The sequence below is a fragment of the Homo sapiens genome, chromosome 3 (genome assembly GCF_000001405.40).
Source record: "Homo sapiens chromosome 3, GRCh38.p14 Primary Assembly".
Classification (NCBI taxonomy): Eukaryota; Metazoa; Chordata; class Mammalia; order Primates; family Hominidae; genus Homo; species Homo sapiens.
This window is the reverse complement of record NC_000003.12, coordinates 77451205-77478894: the sequence shown is the minus strand read 5'-3', so window position 1 is coordinate 77478894 and position 27690 is coordinate 77451205. Positions and strand designations below refer to the sequence as shown.

The 27690-nt window shown below is 36.3% G+C and overlaps 1 protein-coding gene across 41 annotated transcripts in view, besides 1 other annotated feature; it reads right to left on the bottom strand.

The window, feature by feature from the left end:
• ROBO2 (roundabout guidance receptor 2) overlaps window positions 1-27690 on the bottom strand; it is a 1743290-nt gene that overhangs the window by 171070 nt on the left and 1544530 nt on the right. For all 41 annotated transcript variants that reach the window (NM_001378191.1, NM_001378195.1, NM_001378196.1 and 38 more), the window contains one exon: window positions 1324-1481. In NM_001378191.1, coding sequence (NP_001365120.1) covers window positions 1324-1481 — 158 coding nt within the window. The remainder of the gene's footprint in view (window positions 1-1323; window positions 1482-27690) is intronic.
• Window positions 2976-3499: an enhancer, noted in NCBI's record as "OCT4-NANOG hESC enhancer chr3:77524547-77525070 (GRCh37/hg19 assembly coordinates)". NCBI's record gives its function as "activates a minimal SCP1, AML or CMV promoter by ChIP-STARR-seq in primed H9 embryonic stem cells {active_cell/tissue: H9 hESC(primed)}" and the evidence as "EXISTENCE:reporter gene assay evidence [ECO:0000049][PMID:30033119]".

Here is a 27690-nt window from a genome sequence, read left to right as displayed (position 1 = left end):
TTAGAGGGTGAAGGGAAAAAATATCTTTGCCTCTATACCAGAAACGCATGAATATACATTGTCATCCCTTCCACAGCCTATCTAGTTCTGTTTTATGTTGTAATCTCACTGTGCACAGAGGAAAAATCCTCATTTGTAATAAACATATTTTTAAGATAATAGATACCAATACTTTATAGTTTTTTTATTAAAATGGCACATTTATTCAGTCAAATGAGAAATTATCTTAAATGTATTCACTCTCAGTTGTATTGAATATAAAAATTATACTACTGAATAATATCAGAAAGTTAAGCAATTACATACTATTTCTGTGGGTTGGTTCTCACTTAAAAACTTCACATACAAATGTTGCGTGGATCCTCTGAAGAAATAAAATGATTACATGCCATTTGCCTGTTTCTGTGTGTTTCATTTTGAATTTTAATCAACTGATGAATCTGATTATAAATTTCCTTTGAAAACAGTTATTTTTCTACATGCAGAATCAGTCAGCTGTTTTGATTTCCATTTTATTTTACATCTATTCAATTTCCTTTTAAATCAATTCATGTATAAAATTTTACTGTTATAAATATTATTCAATTGGAAAAACTGGAAAAAGCATTTGAGATATTCATCACCTTAAATTAATTTCTCTTATAATTTTTGAAAATGGTGCAAAATTAGATGTAGTTAATGTGGTTTATGGCTATCATTTATACTTTAACACTCAGGTACTGCATGATCAACAGAAGCTTCTGGAGATTTTATAAAAGAGCTAAAACATCAGCTGGGTGTGGTGGCTCACGCCTGTAATCCAAGCACTTTGGGGGGCTGAGGTGGGTGGATCACGAGGTCAAGAGATGGAGACCATCCTGGCCAACATGGTGAAACCCCATCTCTACAAAAAATACAAAAAATAGCTGGGCGTGGTGGCGCACACCTGTAGTCCCAGCTACTTGGGAAGCTAAGGCAGAAGAATCACTTGAAACCGGGAGGCAGAGGTTGCGGTGAGCAGGATCGCACTCCAGCCTGGGTGACAGAGCAAGACTCTGTCTCAAAAAAAAAAAAAAAAAAAAAAAGAGCTAAAATATCAATATTGCAGTGTAAAGATATAACTCAGATTGGTGCAATTATTAATATTTCATGTACACTTGATTTACATAATTTTTGTCTCTTGTAGTCTCATCCAAATGTTTTTAAATCTTTTCAAGGCAGTATAAATTGTAATTAACATTCAAATACAATTGTATTAATAATGTTAAAGAATAAAATACATCTATTTTGTATTTTGAGACTGAAAATTCAATCTCTCTGGGCCATGATTTTAATTTAACTCACACTTATTCTTTCTTCCTTGTCATCAATTCGAACTTTGTCTTTTTTCCAGTAGATGGTGGGTTCTGGGTGTCCCCGGGGAGGCTGGCACTCCAGGATTGCAGGCTCTCCAGCTGCCACTACAACATCTGTGGGGTTTTGTCGGAAGTCATCTCGTAACACTGAGGAAAAATAATTACAGGAAAAGAAAACTCAACGACAGTAACTTAGGCTTTTTGTTGTACAAGGTAACTTCAAGTCTTGTTTACCTTGTTCTAGTAAAAATTGCCTGGATTTTTACTGAGAACATAGCTACATCCACCTTAAAATATTCTGGAGCCAACATAAATGATCATCAACAGGAGAATGGCTGACTAAATTATCATGCACCTTTGGTCAAAAATTCAACTTTAAAAATGAAATCAGTCAAAAAAATGAGAAATATTCATGTACAGTTCTGCGATTAATTAAAAAAGCAAGGTGCAGAACCCTTCATTAGTATAATTCTATTTTCTATATAGAAACTCATATATGTGTGTGTGTGTGTGCACGCATATATATATGCATGTGGTTTGTGAGCCTGCAAGCCTAATGATCTGTGAGGGAAAGTGGGGTGAGAATTCTTTGACAAAGTCCTTTCTCATGACACAAACATAGACAAGATCCACACTGTTTTCATTACACTTCAGAAGACAGATTCATAGTTCACCCTTGCAGCACACTAGCACCCACATACGCAGGGCTACATTTTCATTCTGCAACTCCACCTGCCGAGTGACATCTGGGCAGTGTGACATTCAGGGCAGAGATATCCCTTATAGCAGTTTTGCCTGTCTGAAATTTCCCTCCTTTCATTAAGGAGAACAGCAGGTTGGACCTTCGCTGTAACCACCGAAAATCTGGCATGCCTGCCTCTCCAAATGTCACCTATCTATCTACTTGTGCTTCTCTGCTCCTGACAAGATGAAAAGCCTGGAGAGATGGCTCAGCCCTATCGGACTGCATTTAGGTGGTAAATCAGAGCTACATTAATTTTAGGGTAAACATTCAAAAAAGTAGTTGAGATCAGCAAATGTACCATATACTGCAACTGCCTCTGCTTTTCCTGACTGGCTTTACTATTTCTGTTCTTGGACATTCCAACACCGACATGTTTGGTTCCAAAGTACCTTGAGGTAAAATGAACCTACACACACACACACACACACACACACACACACACACACATACCCACAGACACATGCACACATCAAGCTGTTTGAAATCAACATTAGGCAGCTTGTGGTAGCCTGTTATGTAAATCATGTGCCGCGACTGGGGATTAGGTCAAACCAACTGCCTTCCGTGTCCTATAATGAGACCCACTTCAGCACTCTGCTTCTTTGTTGTGCCAAGTCTGTAGGTTAATTGTCATTCCCCAAATAAATAAAAAACCCTGTCCTTAAAAGAGCTCCAGAGAGTCAACTCAGTGACTTCAGGGTTTTTCTTTTCTCGTATTTTGCAACACACCCTTTAACATGGTTTTCCATCTTAATGAAGTCATGGCCCTTTATGAGATTAGAGCACCTTGTCTCTTATTGAAGGAGCAGTAAGAAATAATTCAGCACAAATTGCTCACTCTCAGTTTATAAGCTGATTAATTTACTGATTTCACTGCTAAAGAAATGTGTTCCATTTTAGCTCTGTGAACTGCATATTTTTGGCCCCCTTGTCTAACTGGCAAGAAAGGTGTGATTTATATGCATGAGGATTTGCTTCTGAGTGGGCTGAGGAAAGTGTGCATTTAAATGTGACATTCATGCAACTGATGAGAAGGGGTTAACACCGTGGTTCCCTCTTGCAGGTAAATCCTCCAGGGAGAGCAAGCTGGTGACTCATTTATATTCTAAATACAGAACAGCTGCCTATTTATGCAATGTTAAGAAGTGCAAAAATATGGTAACAGGGTGATGAGCACCCCTACAATATCCGGTACTGGCAACAAATGGTGTTTTTGCAGGCCCTCAATCTGTTCCAAAATGGCACAGCTGGCCAGTTGAAGGGCCTTCTCCAGATCTGCTCTCCTAAAAAATGGTATGCCAAAAAGCCTAAGCACAAGTAGTACCTAATACCATTGCAAATCATTCAGAAATACAACGTTACACCAATTTTCCACAATCCATTTTTTTTTAAAGGTCCTTTGACATGTAGGACAAAAAGAAGAAAAACATCATAACAAACTATAAGGACTGGTACTCTTCAACAATAAAACATGTGCTTATGGCATTCAACAAAAAGGGGGAAAATGACTCCAATTTGCAAATGAAGCCAAGAAATCTAACATCAACTGTAATTTTAGGCTTTCAGACTATTCACCCAGAGAGTAGGGTGAGATAATGATATAATTGATACTGTACCCTCTTCAACTTGTAATGTGCTCTTTGGGGTTTGTATAGTACTCAGTAAATCCATTTGTGTTTAGTGATATCATTTATTTAACCCTAAGTCTTCAGGATATTATAATATGTTTCTTCTCTCTCTCTCTCTCAGTTGAAAAACATGCTTTTCAGCAGGTTCCACCATAGGCAGCCTAGAACTTATTTTTAGAAAAAGGAGTAAAATCATTTTTACTCTTCTCAAATTTTGAAGGAAGATATGTATATTCTGATATTTGTTTATATGTTTCTGGGGTCTGTATTTACATTCATAAATGTAAGAAAAGTAAAATAAAATAATATCTATCAGTTCCCATTTTTGTGCTAATTATTCATTTCTGCCTTGGATTTTGCCCTGTGCTCTTTATCGTAGCCGATAAAAACAAGAAAGTGTTAGCCATGGTGAAGTATTCCCATGTGTCGGATTAAGAGAACTAAAATGGTCTGGTAAATGTAGAAAATAGCAAAGCAATTTTAAATTCTAAATTGAGTGTGTGTGTGTGTGTGTGTGTGTGTGTGTGTGTATTCCCCCTAAATCCTCTACCCTAGAAAGAACTGAAAACTATATTTTCAAGTGTGACTTGACACGTATGTCAAAAGAAGAGCACATACCACAGTGTGTGTTACCTAACTCTCCAAAAAGTCTTTAAATATGATGAAGAGAAATAAATTCGATGACAGGGTAGCAGCAGTTGTGTTTTAAAGAAAAAGGATATACTGTTTCCATAATGGCTGTATTAATTTACATTTCTACCAAGTTGTAGGGGCCAAGGGAAAGCGTCCCCTTTGCCTCTGATGTTTCACTGAAAAATCGACTCACAAAAAGCAGATTAATTGGAGAAAAGGTACACAAATTTATTAGCGTACCCTGAGGAGAATCACAGAGTAATTGCCTAACACCGCTATGGTATACCAATGCTTATATACTCCGTTTCTTAGGGGAAAGGGAGATGGGGAAGTATAGATAATTTTTAGGCGGATTCAATAACCTTAAAGAACATACAATAGCCTGGGACTAAGTCTTTTCGGCTCACAAGGGGACGATGGTTTTTGACGAAAGTTTGCCCAGGTTTGTTGTCCAACTTCAGTCTTCCTTTCTGCGATATCATTTGAGCTCATGAAAATTCAGGGAAGGGGCCAGAGGTAATGGTTTTCTTCTTTGGTAGGTCCGGACTTTAGGCAGGTAAGAAACTTTGGAGAACAACTTCATCCTGTGCTTCAAGAGACACAGAGGATTGAGAGATGGGGGTTTGGAGGAAGGAAGGTCAGAGAGATCTTGAGGCTTCCTCTTCAGTTCAGCATGTCCAAGTGCTGCTATAGGAGCTAGAAATTATTTAGGCAGATAGTGAGGGTAAACAAGTCCTCAGCGAGGCTTCCCTTTTAACAAAAAACAGCCCCAAATAATTTCTAACAAAGAGCAGCCTGCAGCCAGGCGCGGTGGCTCACGCCTGTAATCCCACCACTTTGGGAGGCCGAGGTGGGTGGATCACGAGGTCAGGAGACCGAGACCATTCTGGCTAACACGGTGAAACCCCGTCTGTACTAAAAATACCAAAAAAAATTAGCCTGGCGCAGTGGCGGGTGCCTGTAGTCCCAGCTACTCGGGAGGCTGAGGCAGGAGAATGGCAGGAACCCGGGAGGCGGAGCTTGCAGTGAGTCGAGTTCATGCACTCCAGCCTGGGCGACAGAGCGAGACTTTGTCTCAAAAAAAAAAAAAAAAAAAAAAAAAAAAAAAAAAAAAGAGCAGTTTGTAAAATCGAACTGCAGACATAGAGAAGCAAGCCGGAAGCTTGCACGGGTGAATGCCGCAGCTGTGCCGATAGAAAGGGATACCTGGAAGCCAAGTCTATTCAACACGGAGGCTCCATCTTCTTCTTCTTCTTATTATTATTTTTTTCTTCCGCCACAGGTGCAGTAAAAAAGCAGGCAACATCGTGCCGACCAGGTACAGAACTCATCCGCATAATAAAAGGTTGGGATGGGGTGGCCAACTTCTTCACGCTCTGTGTAAATGACACACCTGCCCCAACCAATCCTCTAAACCCTGTGGGAATCAGACACCGCATCCTCAAGCTCATCTATAAAACCAACCGCATCTCGTCGCACCCTGGGAGATACGCTCGGAACCCCTCCCTCTGCACAAGGGAGGGTTTCTCCTTTGCCTATTAAACCTCTGTTCTTAAACTCAGTCCTTGTGTGTCCATGTCCTTGATTTCCTTGGCACGAGGCAACGAACCTTGGGTATTACCCCAGACGAAGGACACTGCTTCAGTGACATATTTCAGGGTATCAGTTTCTGAGCCCCAACAAAATATACAAGGGTTCCCTTCTCTCAACACCCTTACCAATATTTATCTTTCATCTTTCAGATAACAGCTTTTCTAACAGGTGTACATTGTACCCAGTAAATATATAATATATACGATTGCTTGTCAAATAAAAATAGAATTTTTAAAACTTCATTTAAAAAGAAAAGGGATATGGTAGGTACATTCTAATATAGAACTTGCTTTCAGATCTAAGTTAGAATACAGGGTTTCAAATCTCCATGGGGTGAGGTGGGGGGGATATGTAATTGGCTAGAACCCGAATATTCACTTCCATATGTGAGCTGGAAAACACATATAAATAGTTCACTTAGCTAGTCATAATATAACCTGAATTATATTTGCATGTTTTTTTACATTGGGATGCACCATGACTTAGGAAATTATTTTGGAAAATTGGAACATTCTAAATTACTACCTTACGACATAGAGATTTTTGACAAATTAAAATTCTGCAAGTATGTATTGAATGCTGTAATGTGACAAACACTCTCCTATGAACTGGTTAAGAAATAGATTAACAAGAATGACATGACAGTGCCTGTGATAGACCCTTGTTCTGTTCTCCAATGGTCACTCCCTTCTGTTATTTATTCCCTTTGTATATCCCCTCCCCTTGAGCATGAACTAGACCTGGCGATTTACCTTCGATGAACAGAATGTTACAAAGTGGTAGGATGCCACTTCCAAGATCAGTTTATAAAAGATTGTGACCTTCATGTTTTTGCCCTCTCTCTCTCTCTCTCATTGTGGCTTAGAAAATGATACCCCAAAATACGCCACTTCAGACTTTAAACTAAGAGCACCCAGTGAGTAGCAAATGGAAGAAAGAGCTTTCTCTAAAGATCCCCTGTCTACCTAAAGATGCTGTCCTCCAGAAGGTATTCAATTAATTCCTTTCTCAGATATCTCATTAACCAGGGGAAATTGGCGCATCCTGCAGGAGGAAAGACCAGAGTTGACACCGCACCCAGAGCCCAGGGAAATGTTGTCCCAGGCCACCCTTTGTTCTTCAGGCCCATTCATCTCCTCAAAAAAATCACTTATTCTTCTAAAATTGCCTGTGTCTCCCACTTTCCTCTCCTCTATGAGGAGAATAATTAAGCTTCAAGTATTTGACCTTTCTTTCAGTCTCATATTTTGTGTGGCTTCTATGCACATGTGTGCATAGTAAATATGTAGCCTTTTTCTCCTGTTAATATGTCTATTGTCAGTGTATTTCAGCAGACTAAGTTATTGAATCTTTAGAGGGAAAGTCTGAACTCCTCTCTTACTCTCTTTTCATATACTTTCTCTGATCATGCACGGTGCCATGTTGCAGAATGGAGAAGCCCATTTGGCAAGGATCTGAAGTCAGCTTCCAGCCAACAGCTGGCAAGAAACCAAGGCCCTCAGTCCAAAAACCCTTGAGGACTCAAGTCACCACTGAATTTTGTAGTAATTTGTTATGAAGCAATAGGTAACTAACAGAGTGCCTTTAAAAAGTTTTATGTCCAGCTGTGATTTTAGAGCTTATATCTTTGGCTCCTGCTTCCTTATAATCCCATATCCTTTCCCACCCCAAACCCTCTCTGTTTTGTCTTAAATCAATAGTTCTTAGAATTTTTTTTTAACCTCAGTCTAGGCAAATCACTACTTAGTCATTTCCATCTTAGTTTATTAAAACAAATTAGCAATGACAATGAAGTGAGACTGTATAACTAATGGACTTCTGAAAGATACATTTCTAAACCACAATGTGCACATGATCCCAACTAAAGTTATTAGAAGGGTAAAGCCTAAAATGTTACTGATAAAAGAATTGGCACACATCATTGAATAAAGAATACCATCCACAACCAACTAAACATTACGAGAAAGATAATCTAAGAAATAATTGTAATGAAAGGTACGGCCAACAGCAGTTGAAAACCGCAGGAGACCCAAACAACACTGAACACAAGTCTTTCCTGCCGGCAGGTTTTCTCTCTGTGTATGTATCAGAACTGCTGGAGTTATGTGGCACAATGACATCCAAACTTCTCAGTAGAAGACCGACCTCTAGCCCGAAGCAGTTCCTTATATGACATACATTTTAGTTTATGAATACAGTTTCAGTAAATTATGATAAATAGAAGCATACTCAGGAGCCTTTACTTATCCATATATATAATATATGTAATTATGTGCTGATTTTCAGTAAGAATTTTTTAGACTTGCTTTTAAAAATTAATTAACAGGCACATATAATGACACTTTTAATCTATTTTTAAAATAACTTGTTCTATGATAATAGCTAAAATTTAGTGAGTACATACTATGTGCCAAAGATAGCGTCATGGATATAGAATAGGTCATTGGAGCCTCATCTATTGTGTTAGGTAAGCACAGGGTTTCAACCCAGTGTGTCTGACACTAGAATTTATACACAGTCATTATGCTGCACTGATTTGCAATATCATCTGGGTCTATTCATCCTCTCTCCACTGCCCTAGTTCAGAATGTCCTTATATCTTCCTTGAATTACTGTAAGAATATCCTATTTGACCTTTTTCTCTAATTTCTCCTTTAAACTTTCCATTGTAGCTATTATGAGTTAGCTAAAATGCAAATGTGATCATGTCAATTCCCTTTTTAACACTTTTTAATGGCTCTTAAGATAAAATTCTCTCCTTAATATGATTTCAAATGTTGTTTGGAACCAGGTCCCTGCATATATCTCCAGGCTCATCAGGGACATTTCTGTAACCTCCATGCCCTAGGGATATGAAGGAACACCTAATTATCATTGTAAGTTGGCATATGATGGTCTTTCTGCCTGCAAGTAACTCCTAGCTGTCCCTTTGTTCTCTTACTTTTGCCTGTGCCTTTCTGAAGTACATACTGTTCATTCAGTGTCAACTTTGGACTCACTCATCTGAAGTCTTTCCTTATCTACTTAACTGGACTGGGTAACCCTCCAAAGAGCTCTCTAGTTGAAGGGTATCAGAAAAGTTAACCAAATAATGTCGATTGGTTGATTGAATTGATGTGCTCTCCTTCAAGATGTGTGCTGCACCCCTTTTTTATGATATAAAATAGACCACAGTGTTTGAATTTGATTTTAAAATGTCATTTATGAAGAACAATTTGAATTGTTTGGATTTAAGAAATAGAATCCTCTTGGCTTGCCTATCTACATACTCATATATCTGTAAAATAAAAGCCAGACAGTTCAAGAAGGTCAGAAATCAACGACTCAAGGAATAGAACAGATTTATGTCAGCCAAAAAAACTGGTAGCACAAATTATAGGTATATCATATTAAATTATTCCAATGGACTAAGAGAAAAAACAATGATGGTCACTCATAAAACTACCACAGATTATTCCCCTAGCCCTACCAACACCACTGCCACCACCACCACCACCAGTTACCATAGGGAATGACTGAGTGTAACCCCAACCAGCATGCAGCTCAGAACTTCTACTCTGCACATGAAAAAAGCACCCTATCTCTTCCTGGACTACATGGCTATAGGTGGCAGCCACGCTTTGACCCCAGGGGGAGACCGATCCTCAGGATGAAACTGGAGCTATGTACAAAGTGTAAAAAAATCTGGGCTCTTAAGGACATGGCTGGACAAATTAATTCTGAAAACTATGCTAACTCTGGACTTTCTAGGTATGTTTCCTTTTATATTTAAGCCAGTGTAAGTTTCCTTTTTCAACCAGAAGCTCCCCACTGACATCGCATAATAATTCTGTATTTTTCTGAAGTTTTAATGACTAAACAACTGATAAAGATTGTCATTCACAAGAAACTACTTTATTACATTTGGTACAATTGAACAAAATATGGTCAGGATGGGCAGGCTAGCCACCAGTTAAATAGACAATAACATCTGAACATGTGGGCATAAGTCATAAGTGGTTTCTTCTGCACAGAAGGGGAATGGGAAAGAAAGAACTCAGTGGGGAGACATCCGGGGGCCGCTGTGCAAGCTGACACTCTGGCACCCTGTAGCATGCTGACAACTCCAAAATGAGAAGCTCTCACCCCCACCTCCAATGAGATTCTGTGCACAGGCACATTCACTGAGCAAATGATCCAGATAAACCAGCGGTAGGAATTGGAGCATGTTGAATAAACAAGAATGCCCTGTGACTTGTTCATTTTCAAGTCATAGCATTTTGTGAAGTCTAGTATTCTGCAGGGAATAAAACACACAAACACAAACATAATTCACACAGGAGGAATGGCCAGCTTCGAGTTTCTTAGCCAAGTCTTTATTCTTGAATCCTTTTTTTAGCCGTGTTCTGTCCTCACCCACAATATAATTTGAAGTCCTGCTAAGAGTGCCAAGTCTTCCTTAATGTTTTCCACTTATGTTTAAAACTTGCTGAAGGATTCTTAGAAATTGCATGGAAACATCGCGCTCTCTGTAATTTGTATCCATAACCTCTGTAATGCATATGTTCTCCTTGGGGACCAAGTGTTGAGATCATTCATAAACTCTTGGATCACATGTGGCACTGCAAACTGGTGACATCTGACCACGGCAGACTCTAGGCCTGTCTCTGGCAATCATTTGCTTTGGTTTGCAGTTAAAGAGCCAGCAGTTGGCATGCCTTCAACACTTGGAAGTCCTATTTTTGGCAAAGCCTAGCATGTGATATTTGACAGGGATCTGCATAGCCTATCCATTAGCTTATGAGGAAGCTGTGGATTGAAGCTGATTAATGTTTAATCAGTTCCTTTTCTTTCTCCCTTAAAGAGCTATCGCCCACAGAATTGTTCACGTGGCATTGCTGTCTCCGAAATCACAGAAAGCTCAAAGAAACCAGATCAAGTTAGAGATTGTGTCCAAACATAGCATGTGAGGAGGATGGTTTCTAGAAATGCTAGTATTAACCTAAACATGTTCAAGGCAATGTCTTGCTCAGCTGCAGAACAAAAACCCATCTCACCATGCTCCCAACACATTCTGTTCTCCTCCACAGGCAACTGTCTTTCAGCACCTGCCCAGTTCGGACAAAACTGTCTTGGCTTGCTCAAAGCAATGCTTATAACTTTGGGCATTAGAAGATATAATACAGTCAACTTAAAATTAAGAACTACACAGGCTGGCTTTTTTTTTTTTATATTAGTGCTTTTTAAGATGGTAACAAGGGGAAACACCAGATTGTTTTAAGGTTATAATACTGCCTCCTACTTTTCTTAGATCTGGGTTTGGGTATAGATATATAAATAGATAGATAGATGATAGATAGATAGATAGATAGATAGATAGATAGATAGATAGATACAGACAGATAGATGATAAAGCCAGCAAGCCCACCAGTTTTAAAGAATTTACATTTACAGGATGATTACAAATAACCATCTGTCTGCTTCTAGCTTTTCAGTCTGGTTCATGTCCCATGGGCCTCGGGTCTTCAGACAAAGTAGTTAGGCTGCTAGGTACCAGGTAGGTGTGTTACAGGTGCTTTGTAGAATGCCTGCCTGGTTTCCCTACTGCTTCTCATTTTTCTCTAACTCTCTGCATTCCTTCCTCATTTAGCCCTTACCATTAGACCAAAGAAAACAAAAATTAAATTATTAAATCTCTTTTACATATATTTATACAAAATTTGAATTCAATACATTTGTTTACATGCACTTTTAAATTAAAATATATCTAAGTATATATTTAAATCCAAATTTCAGGATTCATTACTGACTTATAGCTATAGTTGTCCATTTGAATAAAGGAAATAAAGAGTGTTATCAAGTACATATTAATGTGCTGCATTATTCTGGATCCCAACAGATCGCCTCTCTCCTCCCACCTTATTAGTCCTTATCTGAAGATATTAGCTTTTACAGCATTCCACTGCACAGTTCACAGAGGTACACAGTTTCAGCAGCATCTCTTGTCATTCTAGCCTCTCCTGGTATCAACGTGTTATTGCTCCGATATTTCTCTACTGTTGTGTATTCTGATGTGCATGATCAACATGAATTACAATGCCAAGTAACTGCCAGATGTCATGAGTTATAAACTCAATAGTCTAAGGATTATTACACATTAGGGCACCCTACAGTGCAAGGGTGTCCTGGAATTTATGTGTTATTTATTACCTATTGGCAGGGTCTCAAAGTAATCTCACCCCTGCTGATGAAATGAGGGTTGAAAGGAAAAGAAGGTCAAGGTCAACCTTCTTTGCCAGTTACTTTAACACTATTGTTGCTTTATCTTTTCTTTCCCCTCTACCCGAAACTCAACAAATCTCCGAATAGAGTAGAAATATAATTATATCTATGGGCTCACAACTTGATTCTGCTAATTTCACCATTTCCATCATTTTAGCTATTTTAACAACACATTTTGTAACCATAACCATTGGAGGTCCTAGATAGGGGGTTCACATGAATCACATCATCATCCATAAACTCAAAAATGAGCAGTTTGAGAGTACACGGTTTATGTTCCTCTTTTGCACCAGAACATAAACCAAAGCCTAACTGAATAGATTATATTCGAATTTTGAATTTTAAAAACATATTCCACATGCTTGTGGATTTTTTAGCCTTAGTCTTCCAATATTAAAATTTGATATGTCCACATCACAAAATATGGGCACTACACTATCATGAATTTTGCTGAATTAGATCCAATTTGACATCCTATATTCTTCAAGAAATGTTCTACTTGATTACTACATGACAAGAGACTTGAAATGTATCCTAATTCAGAACGTATCATATTGATTTTTAAATTCACTGATTAAAAATAGCTCTATCACTTTTCTACTCTATCCCAATCCCAGTAACCTTCTTTTCTTTTGCTACTAAATGAATTCCAAATGCAGTAGTTAACATTCAGCAATCTCATTACCCATCTACCATAAATCTTCAAAAGCATCACCATCTTCTGACAGTTCAGCAGGAGAAGAGGAAGCAAGGAGCATATCCAAGTACTTTTTATACATGCAAATATCCTAAATACCAAATTTAAATTATCTCAGAAAACTCATATTACACCATTGACAGTGATTGGAGAACAATGTGCTTGAAGATGTTTGTTTACTTATGAAAAGCACAGTTTCTTACATTCCTAAAGACAAACTGATATCAAACAACAGATACTGAGTATCTTTTTAAGGTATAAGTAATACTGAGTTCTCATGAAGAGAATTAATTATATGTGTGTTTTACCCAAAAGTATGTAAATATTTTAAAACTCATGGATGCTTTAATCAAACCTTCACATCTTAGCTGAAACTGGAAAGAAGCCTTCTTCAGTAGAGTTTTAATAAAATCCTTCTTTTCCTCTGATACACACTGGAGTCACCTTGACCATCCATAGAGTATGTGCTCAGCAGTAAGAAAACAAATAGTACTGCCTTCTGAGTCTCTAGCTATATATCTATTCCCTGGGCTACCCTGTTTCTCCTAGCCTGAGGACTTACTACACTTTCATTCTCAGAATGCTTGGAGATAAAAAATAATCATAGCCATTTCCTTTCTGTGCAGAGAGGAAGCAAATCTCTACATTGTAGTTACTACTTACTTAGCTGCATGAGATGGTTTGAGTTTCTCTCCCTGGGATGGTACCAAACTTGATAAATAAGATTTACCAGAAAGTCTACGAAACCTCCATTATTTTGACATGATCGAGGCACTTCATTATGCCATATTACTAAAATTCACAAACTGCCTTAATCTCTTTTTGGCTTTTTTCATGCACCATATTAACCTTACTCCCTCTAAAAACTGTCTACAAATAGTAAAATTAGAACCTTGTTTTCTCGGTACTCTTGATGAACAAATTACGGCTGTTGTGAATGTAGGGCAAGTTGTCTAAAGTGTCAGCAACAACAACCAAAAAATCTGAAGTTGGCAAATGGGATAATTTTTGAAATAAATTAGTGGATACTAAATACTCAAATGTTATATACAGATTCAGTAATTTCTAATGCACATGTTTAATACTGCCCTTGACATATTTTCCCCATATTTAGTTAAAGGAAAGACCTTTGCTTTAGAGGGCTAGGGCCTTATGACAAATGTCTTCAATATATCACTGGAGAACCAATCACTGAAGTTGCTCTCAGTTGATAAAAGTGCTGGATATGAAGTATGGACTAACAGACTTTTCATTTTCCTTCTAATATCCCAAGTAGCAAAGGAGGAAATGCATTCATTCATTCTGAAATTAAAAAAAAATCTTCAACATTACCTAAGAATTGGATAACTTTCTATTTTACCTTCCAAACTAACACTTTTGAAATCCTAAGGAAGTACTATTAATAATTATTGCAGGACAGTTCCAGGAAATTCAGGCTGAATAGTCCCCTTCCTCCCCCTGTAACTCTAAGTAGTCTAGCCTCTAAAATTGTCTCTACAGCCTCTTCTTTGTCACTTCAATCATAATATTCAACCCACATTTCCTCAGGCCTTTCTTCAGGTCCTGAAATGTAACACGCTCTTTTCTTTTTTTAGGGCCTAAACACAGTTTGTTCTCTATTTCTGGAATGCACTCGAAATCCCCTCCACCATATGCCAGTTCCTCTTAGGGACTTGGAACTCCCATTTAACAAGTGTTTATGGAGCTACTACTATTTGGCAGGAAGGCAACACAGCACTGTGGTAAAGATAATGGGCTTAGTCAGATGGCCTCGGTTGTCTCTGTTCTGCTACTTTTATTATCCAGATGATTATCTACTTTTATTATTAAATTATTACAGGTCCTTCAGCCATTTTAGCTTCAGCTTTTTCATCTGTAAAATGAAGGTTTAAAAAAAGCCTTTGTCTTTGGTTTGTTATGAAGCCTGAACAAATGATCTTTGTAAAGTACAGTGAAAAGTAAAGGAAGTAGTTCATAAAAGAATCACTGTTATTAGGAATTAGAAGTAGTATAGTAAACAAGAAAGACTTTGAATTTTACTTCTGCATCTGATCTTCAATGAGTTTAATGGCTGTCAATTTTTAATTCCTTTGACTATCAAATAGTTAATGATCTTCAAGAGGACAGGCATGGTGGCTGACGCCTATAATCCCAGCACTTTGACAGGCCACGAGGTCGGGGGATCCCTTGAGCTCAGGAGTTCGAGACCATTTTGGGCAACATGGTGAAACCCCATCCCCACCAAAAATACAAAAATTAGCCAGGCGTAATGGTGTGCGCCTGTAGTCACAGCTACTTTGGAGGCTGAGGTGGGAGGATTGCTTGAGCCCAGGTGGTCAAGGCTGCAGTGAAACATGATTGCACCACTGCACTCCAGTCTGGGCAACAGAGTGATACTCTGTCTCAAGAAAACTAATAATAATAATAACAATAATAATAATAATCTTCAATAACCCTGTCCCATATATAAAATTTTTCAGGCCTTAATGTCTTGGGGTCAATCAATTACTATGCAATTGCTAAAAGCGATCATCGCTATGAATAAGCGAGTAGGGATTTATATATAATATAATTCTAAAAACAAACACATTTAGAGGTACTATTTTATGTTATACAGTACTAATATCCATGGTTCTTCCCAATCTAAAAGTATAAATTTTGCCCAGTGAGTTTTACCTAGTTCATTTTAAAAGTTGATTTTAATATGACCTTTAATTTTGCTCTGTTTAATTGATAACAAACTTAGATATTTGTTTTTCACTTTTCAACCAGCTCTAGTTGTTGAGACTACCTCTGTGAGGTAACAGAAGAGTTTTATTTCTCAATCACCCACTTTTTAAATTCAAGTATGTACTGCACATGTTGTTCCAGTCTCTATATAGCACACTTTAGGAGTACAAGATATTTCAATGAAAGATGGTCCCCTCATGGTGCTAAAGAGATTTAGGAAAGTTACCATACCTAACTCAAAAACCACAAACTGAAAGATGAAAGTATGAATTATTGGGGACAAGTATACTTAAAATGCCGTAAGGTAAAATGGAGGAAACTTTGTTTTCATAAGGAAGGCTTTTTGGAGGAGCGAGTTTCAGAGCTGGGTTTGGAATATGCATTGTATGCTTTAATTAATTAGAAAAGGAAAAGAAACATGCTGGAATGTGCTTGCATGCACATAAAACAATCTCTGAAAGAACACACAAGAAACTAATAATAACAAATGCACTTGCAGGAAAAAAAAAATACTGGAAAGTAAAGAATAAGGGAGGAAGACTTCCCTGCATCTACTTTATACTTCTTTAAAACCCTGTAAATGTATTAACTACTTATTAATACGTATGTTTACCAATGTATAAATTCAATGTATAAAGAAAAAGTATATTGACGGAGTGTTTTCAAATTATACTGTCTTTCCCAACTGGATTCAACACAAAGAGTTGCGAAGAGAGTATAGAAACATGGTTTCTTACAAGAGTCATTCAGTGACACAAATGGCAATTTTCCACAATTAGGTGCTTTGAAATGTAAATGTCAATAAAATATCTGTAGGATGCTAGTAAGCATGGCCTTAACTTGAGCCTGATCAAAGTGTACAATTCAACTAATGAGTTTTTTTCAAAGATAGACTAAAAATTCACAAACTTTGCTATTGAGAAGGACATTTCTTTTCATTTAACATTAACTGAAGGCCTATTGCGAGCTAGGCACAAGAGACATAAAGACGAATTCGATGACAACCTTTTGATTTGAGACTTAGGTCCTTTCAGTGCCTCAACAGAATATTGAGTGAGGAGGTTCTAAAGGAAGGAGCAAGTATTACTAACTGTGTTTTAGTTGAGAGCGGCTTACAGTTATTAATACATCTTCTATAGAACCTAAAATATCAATTATTACCCAAAATTATCAATTTTATAAAAAGTTATTTTTCTCTCTCAAATTATAAGTTGTGAGTGTATAAATCTATTTCATGTAAGTAAATCAGGCCAGGCGTGGTGGCTCACGCCTGTAATCCCAGCACTTTGAGAGGCCGAGGCAGGTGGATCACCTGAGGTCAGAAGATAGACACCATCCTGGCCAACATGGTGAAACCCCGTCTCTACTAAAAATACAAAAATTAGCTGGGTGTGGTGGCACGGGCCTGTAATCCCAGATATGGGAGGCTGCGGCAGGAGAATGGCTTGAACCCAGGAGGAGAGGATTGCAGTGAGCCAAGATAGTGCCACTGCACTCCAGCCTGGCAACAGAGAGAGACTCTGTCTCAAAAAAAAAAAAAGTACATCAAGAAAATTATAAATGATTCCTCCTTTAAAAAATAAAAACTTATAATGATACTTCATAGAGATTTCCTTAAAGAAAATTTTTTTTAAAAATCTAATATTATAAAATATTATTTTCTTTGATATGCTATGTCTTTTATATTTCATATGGATTGAATATACAAAAACAAAAATATCATTAATGTTTTTAAAGTGTGATGAAGAATATATCTATGTATAGCATAAATATAATGTTATTCAACCATTAGCACAATTTTTCATACAGGATACTTGATGGTTTATCATAAAATGTATTATATTCCATCTTTAAACAATATAACTCTTGGTGAACTTTTCTCAATACCAGTAAATTCAATTTTGTCTAATCCTTGGATCTATAATAATGTTGGCTCATTAAAATGTTAGTTAAAATTCATTAAAATGCATACTGAGAGGTAACAGCTTCATTACTGTAATATGATGTAAAGAAAAAAGAATGTTTTATTATCATTTAGTTATTTTTAGAACTGAATAAATTTGCATAATAAAAAGTTCACTCTATATTTTCAATAGATCTCAAATATTAAGCAGCCCAATAATTAAATTGCAGGTTCTAAAAACATATTATTTTTTACCACAGAGTCCCAGTTGTTGTTGTTTTTTTCAATTATAAAAAATAGTCATATGAAAGATGGTGTTTATTAGTAATTGAAAATCATTTAAAATGGTACAAAAGTATACTAATATAGCCATTATTTCCTTTTCAATATTTAAAATATTTGGTCGAATAAGACTTCCATACAACAGCGGATGGCTCAATAAAATATAGTGATTAATTTCCTTCATTTCATAATACATCAGTACCTTATAAGACTGAAGAATCAGATGGCCATGGAAAAAAATATGGGAAATTAGCTATCAGCTATTATCTCCAATGCAGATATAATAACTCCATGTTTCTCTCCCATTGCACCTTATCTATAATAAGTGCTAGATATATATTTGCTAAGAGTTAATATGTGGAAAATTCCTACAGTTTTTTTTTATTCTCCCCTGAATTCCTACATAATGAAATCATTACCACGAAAGCATTGCATTAAAATGCATCTAATTTAAATGTGTGTTTTTTACCTTGTCTTCTGGAATACTTTTCTTAATTTCCTTCCAACTAGCCATTACTCATCCATCTACTTTGCCAAAAGCTTCCTGCCCTTAAAAAATCGTCAGTACTTAAAACGGAGTGTTCCAGCCACACATTCTTCTGAGTGAACCCCTGCTGGTTCTGCCTCCATGCTGATGATCCCAAAATGCATGCCTCCAGCCTGAGCTACTCTGGAACTTCAGTCTTGTGTCCACCTGCCTGCTTGACAGTGTCTTGAATGTCTAAGAGTAACTCAACATTACCAAAATGGAATTCATGGTTTTCGCCATACAAGTCTTTATTTCCGCAATCTTCCCTGTCTTTGTACATGGTATCATCTTCTATGAATCGCTCAAGGAATTATTATTACTCCTCCATTTCTGTCACCCATGAACACACTCACACCATCCTGACCATTCGTAAGCTCCAATGACTGTGAAACTTATTCAGAATCCACCCGATTTTCCTGACTTCCGCCCCTGTCATTTTGTCTGAGTCACCAACATCTCTCAGAGTACACAGCAGCCAACTCAACAATCTTACTCTTACTCCTGTCCACACTACAGTCAATTCTTCCTGCAGCAGACAGAGGAACCTCTTCAAAATTATAAAAATAAATGTTAACATCTTTTTACATAAAATTCTCCGAAGGACCCCCCCACCCACTCCACCACCCCCATCACATTTAGAAAAAAGTGAAAATCCTTATCCTGGCCTACAAGGTTCAAGAGATATGACCTCTCATCTCGTAGTATCTACCCCTTCTGCTCCCTTCCTTCCCAACCATGCTGGCCTTTTTCTTCTTCTAGCAAGGCCAGTTACTTCCTTGGGTCTTGTTTCTACATTATTTAGTTGGCCTGTGAATTGTTATTCTCCCCATGACTTCCTACACCTCTCCTGTTCTTTTAGTCAAATCTCAGTTTACTTATCACTTCTTCAGTTTCCCCTGTTAGGACTACCCAAACTAAAGAAGCAGCAAGATCACACATATCATATTCCTCTGTTTTCTCCCCTGAATATCACATATTACTGTGTAAAAGTATTCTTGTTTGTGTTCGTTATCTATCTGCTTTTAATAAAATGTAAGCTAGCTCCACAAAGGCAGGAACCAAGTTCATTTTGCTTGCTGTTGTATTTCCAGAGTCTAGAATGGTATCCTTAGCACACAGTAGGTGCGCAATAAATGTTCATTGAATAAACAGATGAATAACGAATTTCAATTCTTGTCATTACTAAACCGGATATAGTTAATTATTACATATGCAACTTTAGTAGAAAGTTCCTTATATTGGTCTAATTGTTGAGTTTACTCAATATATGGGTAGTTGCTTATCTCTTGCTTTAGTAAGGAATGTAATATGCATTGAAGGTATCACTGTGGAATGATCTTGAAATGCTAGTAGTTTCTTATTTTCAAAGGTAAAAACTAACTTCTAAATTTCATGTATTCAAATGATCAGAAAAAAGCCAGTAGCTTGTATCACTTCTTATCACATCCATAACCTTTTAAAGATCATGTTCTGAATGTTTATTTTAAAATATTGCAGTTGTCTAGTGGGGTGGAATAAAACAGTGTCTACTAAATGGTCAAGATTTCTTGTCTATAAGGTCAATTGAATACTCACAATGACCCTGTGAGGTGGGCAGGTTTATAAATGAAAAGACAGAAGTTCCAAGATGTCAAGTTCATCTAGTTAATAAAAGTGGCCAGGATTTGAAAATAGACAATTTTTTATTCTAGATCTTATACTTTAAAAATATTGTGATGAAATAAGATATAACAGGCATATTTTACAATTCCTTAACCTAATAATCAAAGTATACTAAAAATAATTTAGCTTTGTAACTAAGGTCTTCATTATAATCAGTTATTATGCCATGCTGTGAGATGGTGATTTTGAACATTAAGCTAAATCTATTTTTAATTCAAAATTCATGATGACACTTGCTTCTTTGAATAAATCCCTAATATGAGCTTGATTCTGTACAATTGCCTTTTTTTCATAAAAAAAAAAAAGAAAAACAAAAACTGGAGAACAAAAGCTGATGGTGAGTGAATTGCTGATCAGTGTTACATTCTTCTTCTGTATAACCAACTATGGCACCTTTTCCTAATAGGTATGCGGAAACCCTCAGGACTGGTCTTCACTTTTTAAGAAAAATTTAAGCCAGCTTCTTCTTCCAACAAACCCAAACCTTCTAGCCAGCCTCAATCTTTTCTGTCTCCTCATTCACCGTTATTAAAACATTCAAAACTGTATGTTACCATCTTGGAGACAGTTAACTTCTCAGAGTCACATAATTCTTATAGGTTATATTTTCTGCAATTGCAAGTACAAACAGAATCTTGCGTCTTCAGCTATTCTTTGCCCTCTGGAGGTTATGCCCACATGTTTTGGTGATTGAAAGCCTTTTGTTTGAGTCCTGGTATTGTTGCTTAACAGCTATGCCATTTGGAGCAAGTTATTTACCCTCTCTAATTTTTTGTTTCTTCATCTGTGAAATGGGGATAATGGCGCCTCTTATCTAAGGCGGCGATGAGGATTAAGTGAAATAGTTTTTTGGCATTTAGCACATACCTGGCAAAGAGCAAGGTTCATTCATTATCATGGTTTTGCATAATCAAATAGAGATATTTAAAGTTATATATAGTCTCTTATAAAGTATTTATTTGCCCACAGTGATAATTGTCCTGATTAGTATATAAACATATAACTAGGTTGTAGCTCAAACAATAAAATGTCTATTTCTCTATTATTACTTTAATTTAACAAATATTAAATTAATATAATATTTAACAAATACTATTTTGACCGAACAAAATAATACTTAGGAGGACAGAATAATCTGGTTTAAACACTTAAATTCATTAGCTTAGATAAATAGTTGTGACACTTTGCTTCATATTAATTTAGAATAAAATCTAGTCATTTACTTCTTTGGATAGTCTTTCTCAGTGAAAGCACATAAAATAAAAGGGTCGAGATTTGTAGCAAAAGAAAGTGATCCCTGTTGTATGGGAAGCAAGGGCAGAGAATCACTCTAATATAATACCGATCAAGTTTTATGACCAATTCTTAGTGAATAACCATTTAACTTGTATTTATATATAGGCATTTTAACACAAAAAGTAACTCCTTAATAGAAATTTTCGCTACGCTCAAATTTCTAAGACTTTATCTCTCTTTATATTTTAAACTTACACTAAGCAAATGTTATTGTCATTTATTACACTAGGTGCTTTGTCCTCCCTATTATATAGCTATTGCTGGTTAAAAACTAAAAGAGCTCACAGAAAGAAAAAAAGTTGAAATAATGAGGGGAAAAGACAAAACAAATCAGGAGCCTTAGTTTCTTGACAACCCAAAATCACCTGTTTCTGACAGTTCCATCTTCCACTCTCTGAATGCCTGTTAGTAAAAGAAAAGCAGTCCAGCCCACCTCCTGACATCTTTAATTGACTTCCTAGAGAATGTTATCAAGAGCTACTCAAGCGGGGCTAATAGTGCCTGTAGATTGCTCACATATGGCAAAGCTTGGTGTGCTGGACTTTTAAAGGGCTGGAGGGGACTGTAATCTCTATTCAGTGTGGAAGCAAATAGCAAGGTTTATCTGAAAAGCAACAAATAATCCTTTGGTACCCTTGAGACAGAAAGAAGATGTGTAAATGGGGAGAGAGGGAAATTGGTGCTCAGATGCAGACCCTCCAAATATGCCTCACATTGCCATATCTACACTGTGACCCTGAGTTGTGTTCCATGATGGGAACTGCATGACATGAAAGGACACTGGCCATGATATGCCTCCTTTTTCAGTAAGTGTGGATTCTTCTAAGAATATATTCTACTGAGAAGAGCCATCCCATGTTGAGATGAAGTGAAAAGAATCCAGCAGAATTCAAATAAGCCCAGTCATTTCAGTTAAGTTTAAAATGTCATCCCCATAGGAAGAACAGCACATATGGCACCTAAGATCTTCTACCACTTGGATGGCTGCCTTGGCACTTCAGAATGAAGAGAAGTCTGTTTGTTTTCTTTTCTTTTCTTTTTGGATTCGCCACTGAATTTCTCACTTCTGTACATTAGAACTCAGTATTTAACTGGAACAAAATGAAAGTTTTGCACACAAAATCCAGCACACTGTATATCCTTTAGCTTTTATTAAAACATCATTAAGTGTTTTTTCACATAAATGTTTCCTTAACAGTTCCAAGACTACCCCCTACCTCTTTCCTACCTAACCAATATTCTTTCCTTTGAAGCAGGGCCAAGCTTTGAGATTTCTTATATCTCCAACAAAACATAAATAATTACAGACAGCAACTCCTGTTCACACTTAGTTTGGGATCTTCGATGGCTAATTTTATTGGCTTGTTGTTTCAACTTATAAAAAAGTTCACTTTGTAAGTACAAAATAATATAGCTTTCAACATTATTGCTTTTTACTAGTTCTATTTATGTGTGGTTTTCTATAGAATGTGCTATGATATTATGGCATATTTTCATACTACAGTATTAAATAGGATGCTAAGAATTCAAGGTTACATATGAGCACTGACAATACTTTCTGAATAATTCCTCTATCACTCTACTACAAGAAGACATGCTGGGCCTTGATAATTCATTTTTAATAAGAGAAAGGGAAATAAACATTTGCATTTACTTTGCAGATTCCTTCCACATTTAGGAATATTTAACTGGCAAAGCTCCTTAGTTGCCATCAATCCTCAAAGGACATTACTATAAAGAGAAACACATGTGAAAATTGCTTTGCAAATGAGATGATATATAGGATGATGGCATTTGATATTTATTAATGAATGAATAAAAATGCATATTAGTCATTGCCTCAAACATCTAAAAAAAAAAAAAAGAGTATAAGGCCGGGCGCGGTGGCTCACGCCTGTAATCCCAGCAGTTTGGGAGCCCGAGGCGGGCGGATCACGAGGTCAGGAGATCGAGACCATCCTGGCCAACATGGTGAAACCCCATCTCTACTAAAAATACAAAAATTAGCTGGGCGTGGTGGTGTGTGCCTGTAATCCCAGCTACTCAGGAGGGTGTGGTGGGTGAATAGCTTGAACCAGGGAGTTGGATGTTGCGGTGAGCTGAGACTGTGCCACTGCATTCCAGCCTAGTGACAGAGCAAGACTCAAAAAGAAAAAGAGTATAACGATTTTTGCTTTTCCTTAATTTCGGACTTCTGTTTTGCCCTAATTAAGTATATTCACATGTCAGCGATTATATTTTTAGTGTCATAATTTTTCCATATTTGTTTCCATACATTCTTTTCATTAGCGTAACTTAAAAGTTTTTCGTAAATGATTGTAACTGCTGAAACACTTTTTTCAAGTTTCCGTCAATGATTCAGTATTTCCTTCTCAAAGGTATGAAAAAATGTTCTCTCATTAATCAAACAACATGCAAGATTTGCTATTTATACTAGTAATTCTATTTATTGTAAAGCCAGTTAAATGTACTGTTTTGGGGTCAGCATTAGAGTTTCATTGTTCTATTTGTTCTCCCATAATAATTTTACCTTTTGAAATTACAAGCTAGTGACTATTAACATCTACTTTATATCAGCAACAACAAACTACTAATCCATTTTTTCTCGCCATCTCCTAGTTTAAGCCACTTTTATACACCCAGGAGATGGTAGACTAAATTACAGTCTCAGCCTGGCTGTAGGAATGTGTTCACTATAAGAAAAAGCTAACTCAACCATGATCTTCAAACTATGATAATTCATATGGTATCCTAACAAATGATCTTAGCATTATGTCAACCTCTACCACAAATGAATGGATATAAACAAATAACATAAATAAATTGAAAAAGAGAAGACACAATTAAGTAAAATTGGTTAGAATGAAAAATAATCATCATCCTAGAAATTTTTAAGAGTGCATGATGGCTTCTTATGAACTAGATGTGAAAAAAATATTCAAAGGAAACACCTTTCAAAATGCCAAACTGTGAAGTATTATAAGTCAGATGCACTATGGATTAAAAATAATTTTCTGTACAAATGATGCCAGTAGAGAGTTAGAGTGATGTCACAGCATAAACATCATTCTGCAGGAGATTAATACAAATATTTCCAACTTTCTGCCTCAAATGTATAAGAATGACTAAATGAAAGGGTGTCTTAATATAACACCTAGGGTGCAATCAAGAGAGTTTTGATTGCAAATGAGTCAGGGATTTAGCATAAGGGCATGACCTATATGACTACGACAGTGGAAATGTGTAGAAATTGACGAGGCCAACTGAAGACTCTGCAAATTTACCAAGGCAGGACACCAGAAAATGCAAAAACCCAATAACCAAATTGAACGCTTATCTTTTTCTCAAACACAATCTTGTTTATATTGGTAAACAACAGTAACCATTAAAATATCAGTGTCCCAGACAAGATTTAAAAAGAAGAGAAATAAGCTAGCAAATATTTGTACCATAAACCGGCAAGTATTAAAAAAAAAAAAAAGCCCAGAGTAAGAAGACTTTGAGGAAGATGCTAATCTTGAAGAAGGCTACATACAAGTTCTATTTTTTAAAATGTCTAATGAGGGTGTCTGGTCCAATCATTAACGGGAAATGAGGATTGAAAATAGATGTGCTGATTGAACGGGGGAGCAAAAAAACATGTATTTGCAAGACACTTAAAACACATCAGAAATGTTTCAATCTTCTAATGATCTTTCTTCACTGTTCTTCCTGGAAGCTCATATTATAAAAAGGTCAATATGTTATTTGGTTTTGATTTTGGCAGTCAATTGATAAAAATTAATCCCATAATTGCTAAATTACTACTCCAAGCCATGCACTCAAACATAACCTGGAAAATAACAGTAATAAGGTAGAGTTTCTGTCTTCAAGAATCTAAGAATCTAACAAAAACTAGGACTAAACAAGAGAAAACATTTAATACTTCTCAGAGATAATCAGGAATATTAACTAAATTTTACATACTTTTTTCCTATCAAACAGATTCTAACAGAGGATTTATTATAGCTGCTTGACAAAGGAAAAAGTCTCAAGTTATATGAAGCTCCATTAGCATCTGTAAATTGAGGAAATCAGAGTAGATTATCTACAATTCCTTTTAACCCTTATATCCTATAACATAAATAAAACAATAATGGAAACAAGCAGGAATAGTAAGTGAATGTGAAATTAAATTCCAGTTAGTGGATATGACTAGCCATTGAGATTGAAGTGAAAAAAAAAAAGGCTTTAAAATTGTGACTAATAGGAATCAATCCAAGTAGATGGGCATTTGGAGAGATACCATGTTCTCTTTAACTCTGTGCCTCAAAGCCAACTGCAGTGATGAGAAAGTTGCTCAATAAATGTTGAATGAAAAATGACACAGAAGACAATTGATGGAGAAGATATCCTATTTTTATTTTGTTTTATGAGTATTTCTTCCAAAATTTCATAGTAGTTTAATAGAGAAGGCAGTAAAATGGTTTAGATAAATAAGAAAATAGAATAAGATGTTGGTAAGATTTTTAAATGGCAATGTTGAGTAGACTTGGCTATACGGAAGTGTGATACCTAGGCCATAGACATACTTTGGGGAAATGTCAGCCATGTAGTAGCTGAAGACATGAGATTAGAAGACACTACTTGAGGAGATGGATGAATTCCTGACAAGAACCCTGAGAAATACCCATTTTAAGGATCAACAGGAAAAGTGAAAACTGCAAAAAACATTACAATTCAATTCACATTGGCTTGTATGTGTGCTTTTGATATTCAAACCTGTTTCTGCAACTGGGATTAATTTTCCCATTGATTTCTATAATTAAATTCTGCTTTTTATTTAAAAAAAACATGTTTTGGTTTTAGGACACAAAATATCACATTCAAGAAATGAATCCATTTAATGCTAATCTTGTCACTTGTAAGCTGGATCTAGTAATAAGAACAGCTACTATTTATTGAGCACTTGCTGTAAACTGAGTACTGTTTAAAGACTTTGTAGGCATTTTCTTTTTTAACCTTAAAAGAACCGCAAAATTACGTATTATTATATTGCCATTTTGTGAATGAGAATATCGAATGTATAATTGGTGTCCACTTCCAGTGATAGCAAAGGGGTACCTGGGGGATTGGAATGAGTGTCTGCTGCACTTATAAGCATGCTTTTCGTATTCACTATAAAGGTTGACACAAACATGGTTAGTTTATCTGATTTTAACTATATATATGCTCAGAAGGAGAGAGCGGGAGAAAAAGATAATATTTCCACAATTCAGTCAATTCCAAACAATATTCCTATGAAATAAAGTTTGGAAATCTTTGCAGTCCTGTTTCCCACATGAAATGTGAACATCTCACTCTTCTGCTCACGATGAATGAGTATGATACTTTGCAAATGATTTGAAGGACTTTCAAGGATCATTTTTACATTATTTTGCCTATGAATCAACTTTCAAAATTATTCCTTGTTTAAAATATAATTCAATGAGATATTCATTTTTGTCTAGGGGGAAAGATGGAAGCTAGGAAGAAGAATGAAGGGAAGAAAGAAGCTGGAAACCATCACTCTCAGTAAACTATCCCAAGGACAAAAAACCAAACACCGCATGTTCTCACTCATAGGTAGGAATTGAACAATGAAAACACTTGGACACAGGAAGGGGAACATCACACACTGGGGCCTGTTGTGGGATGGTTGGGGGAGGGATAGCATTAGGAGATATACCTAATGTAAATGACGAGTTAATGGGTGCAGCACACCAACATGGCACATGTATACACACCTAACAGACCAGCACATTGTGCACATGTACCCGAGAACTTAAAGTATAATAAAAAAATTAAAAAAAAAGGATTTGCTTTTTAGAGTCAGAATGATTGAAAAGAATCACACACAAAAAAAAGAAAGAGTAGAAGGGAGAATCAAAGGGCAGGAGAGGGGAGAGATAAAGAGGAAATGAACTAGACTTTGCACATTTTGGCTGGTAATGGTGGAATAGTCAAAGAGTGAGATCTTGCAATTATCTTCTCATTTATTCACTTAATATATATTAAATAAAACTGCACTTTGGGCAAGCACTGAGCTAGCTAGCATTGGGATGCAATGTGGAGCCAAAACATACCTGTACCCTATGGACCTTCGTTAAAATAGCATTACTTTCTTCTCATGAGGACATTAAGCCAAAGGTAGTGATCTAAATAGTGAAAAGCATATGAATTCAAAGAAAAATACTATAAAATCATAATAATTTTAGAATGGGAGGAGGAATTTTATTTCTTTTAAGTTTGGAGGATCCTTTCAGCATAAATAAATTAAAAATGTGGTTTTTATATGGATAGGGATCATTTTTCAAACTTTAAAATTCAAACAAATTAAATAGAAAGAATTGGAAATTATAAATGCTGCTTAGTGAAA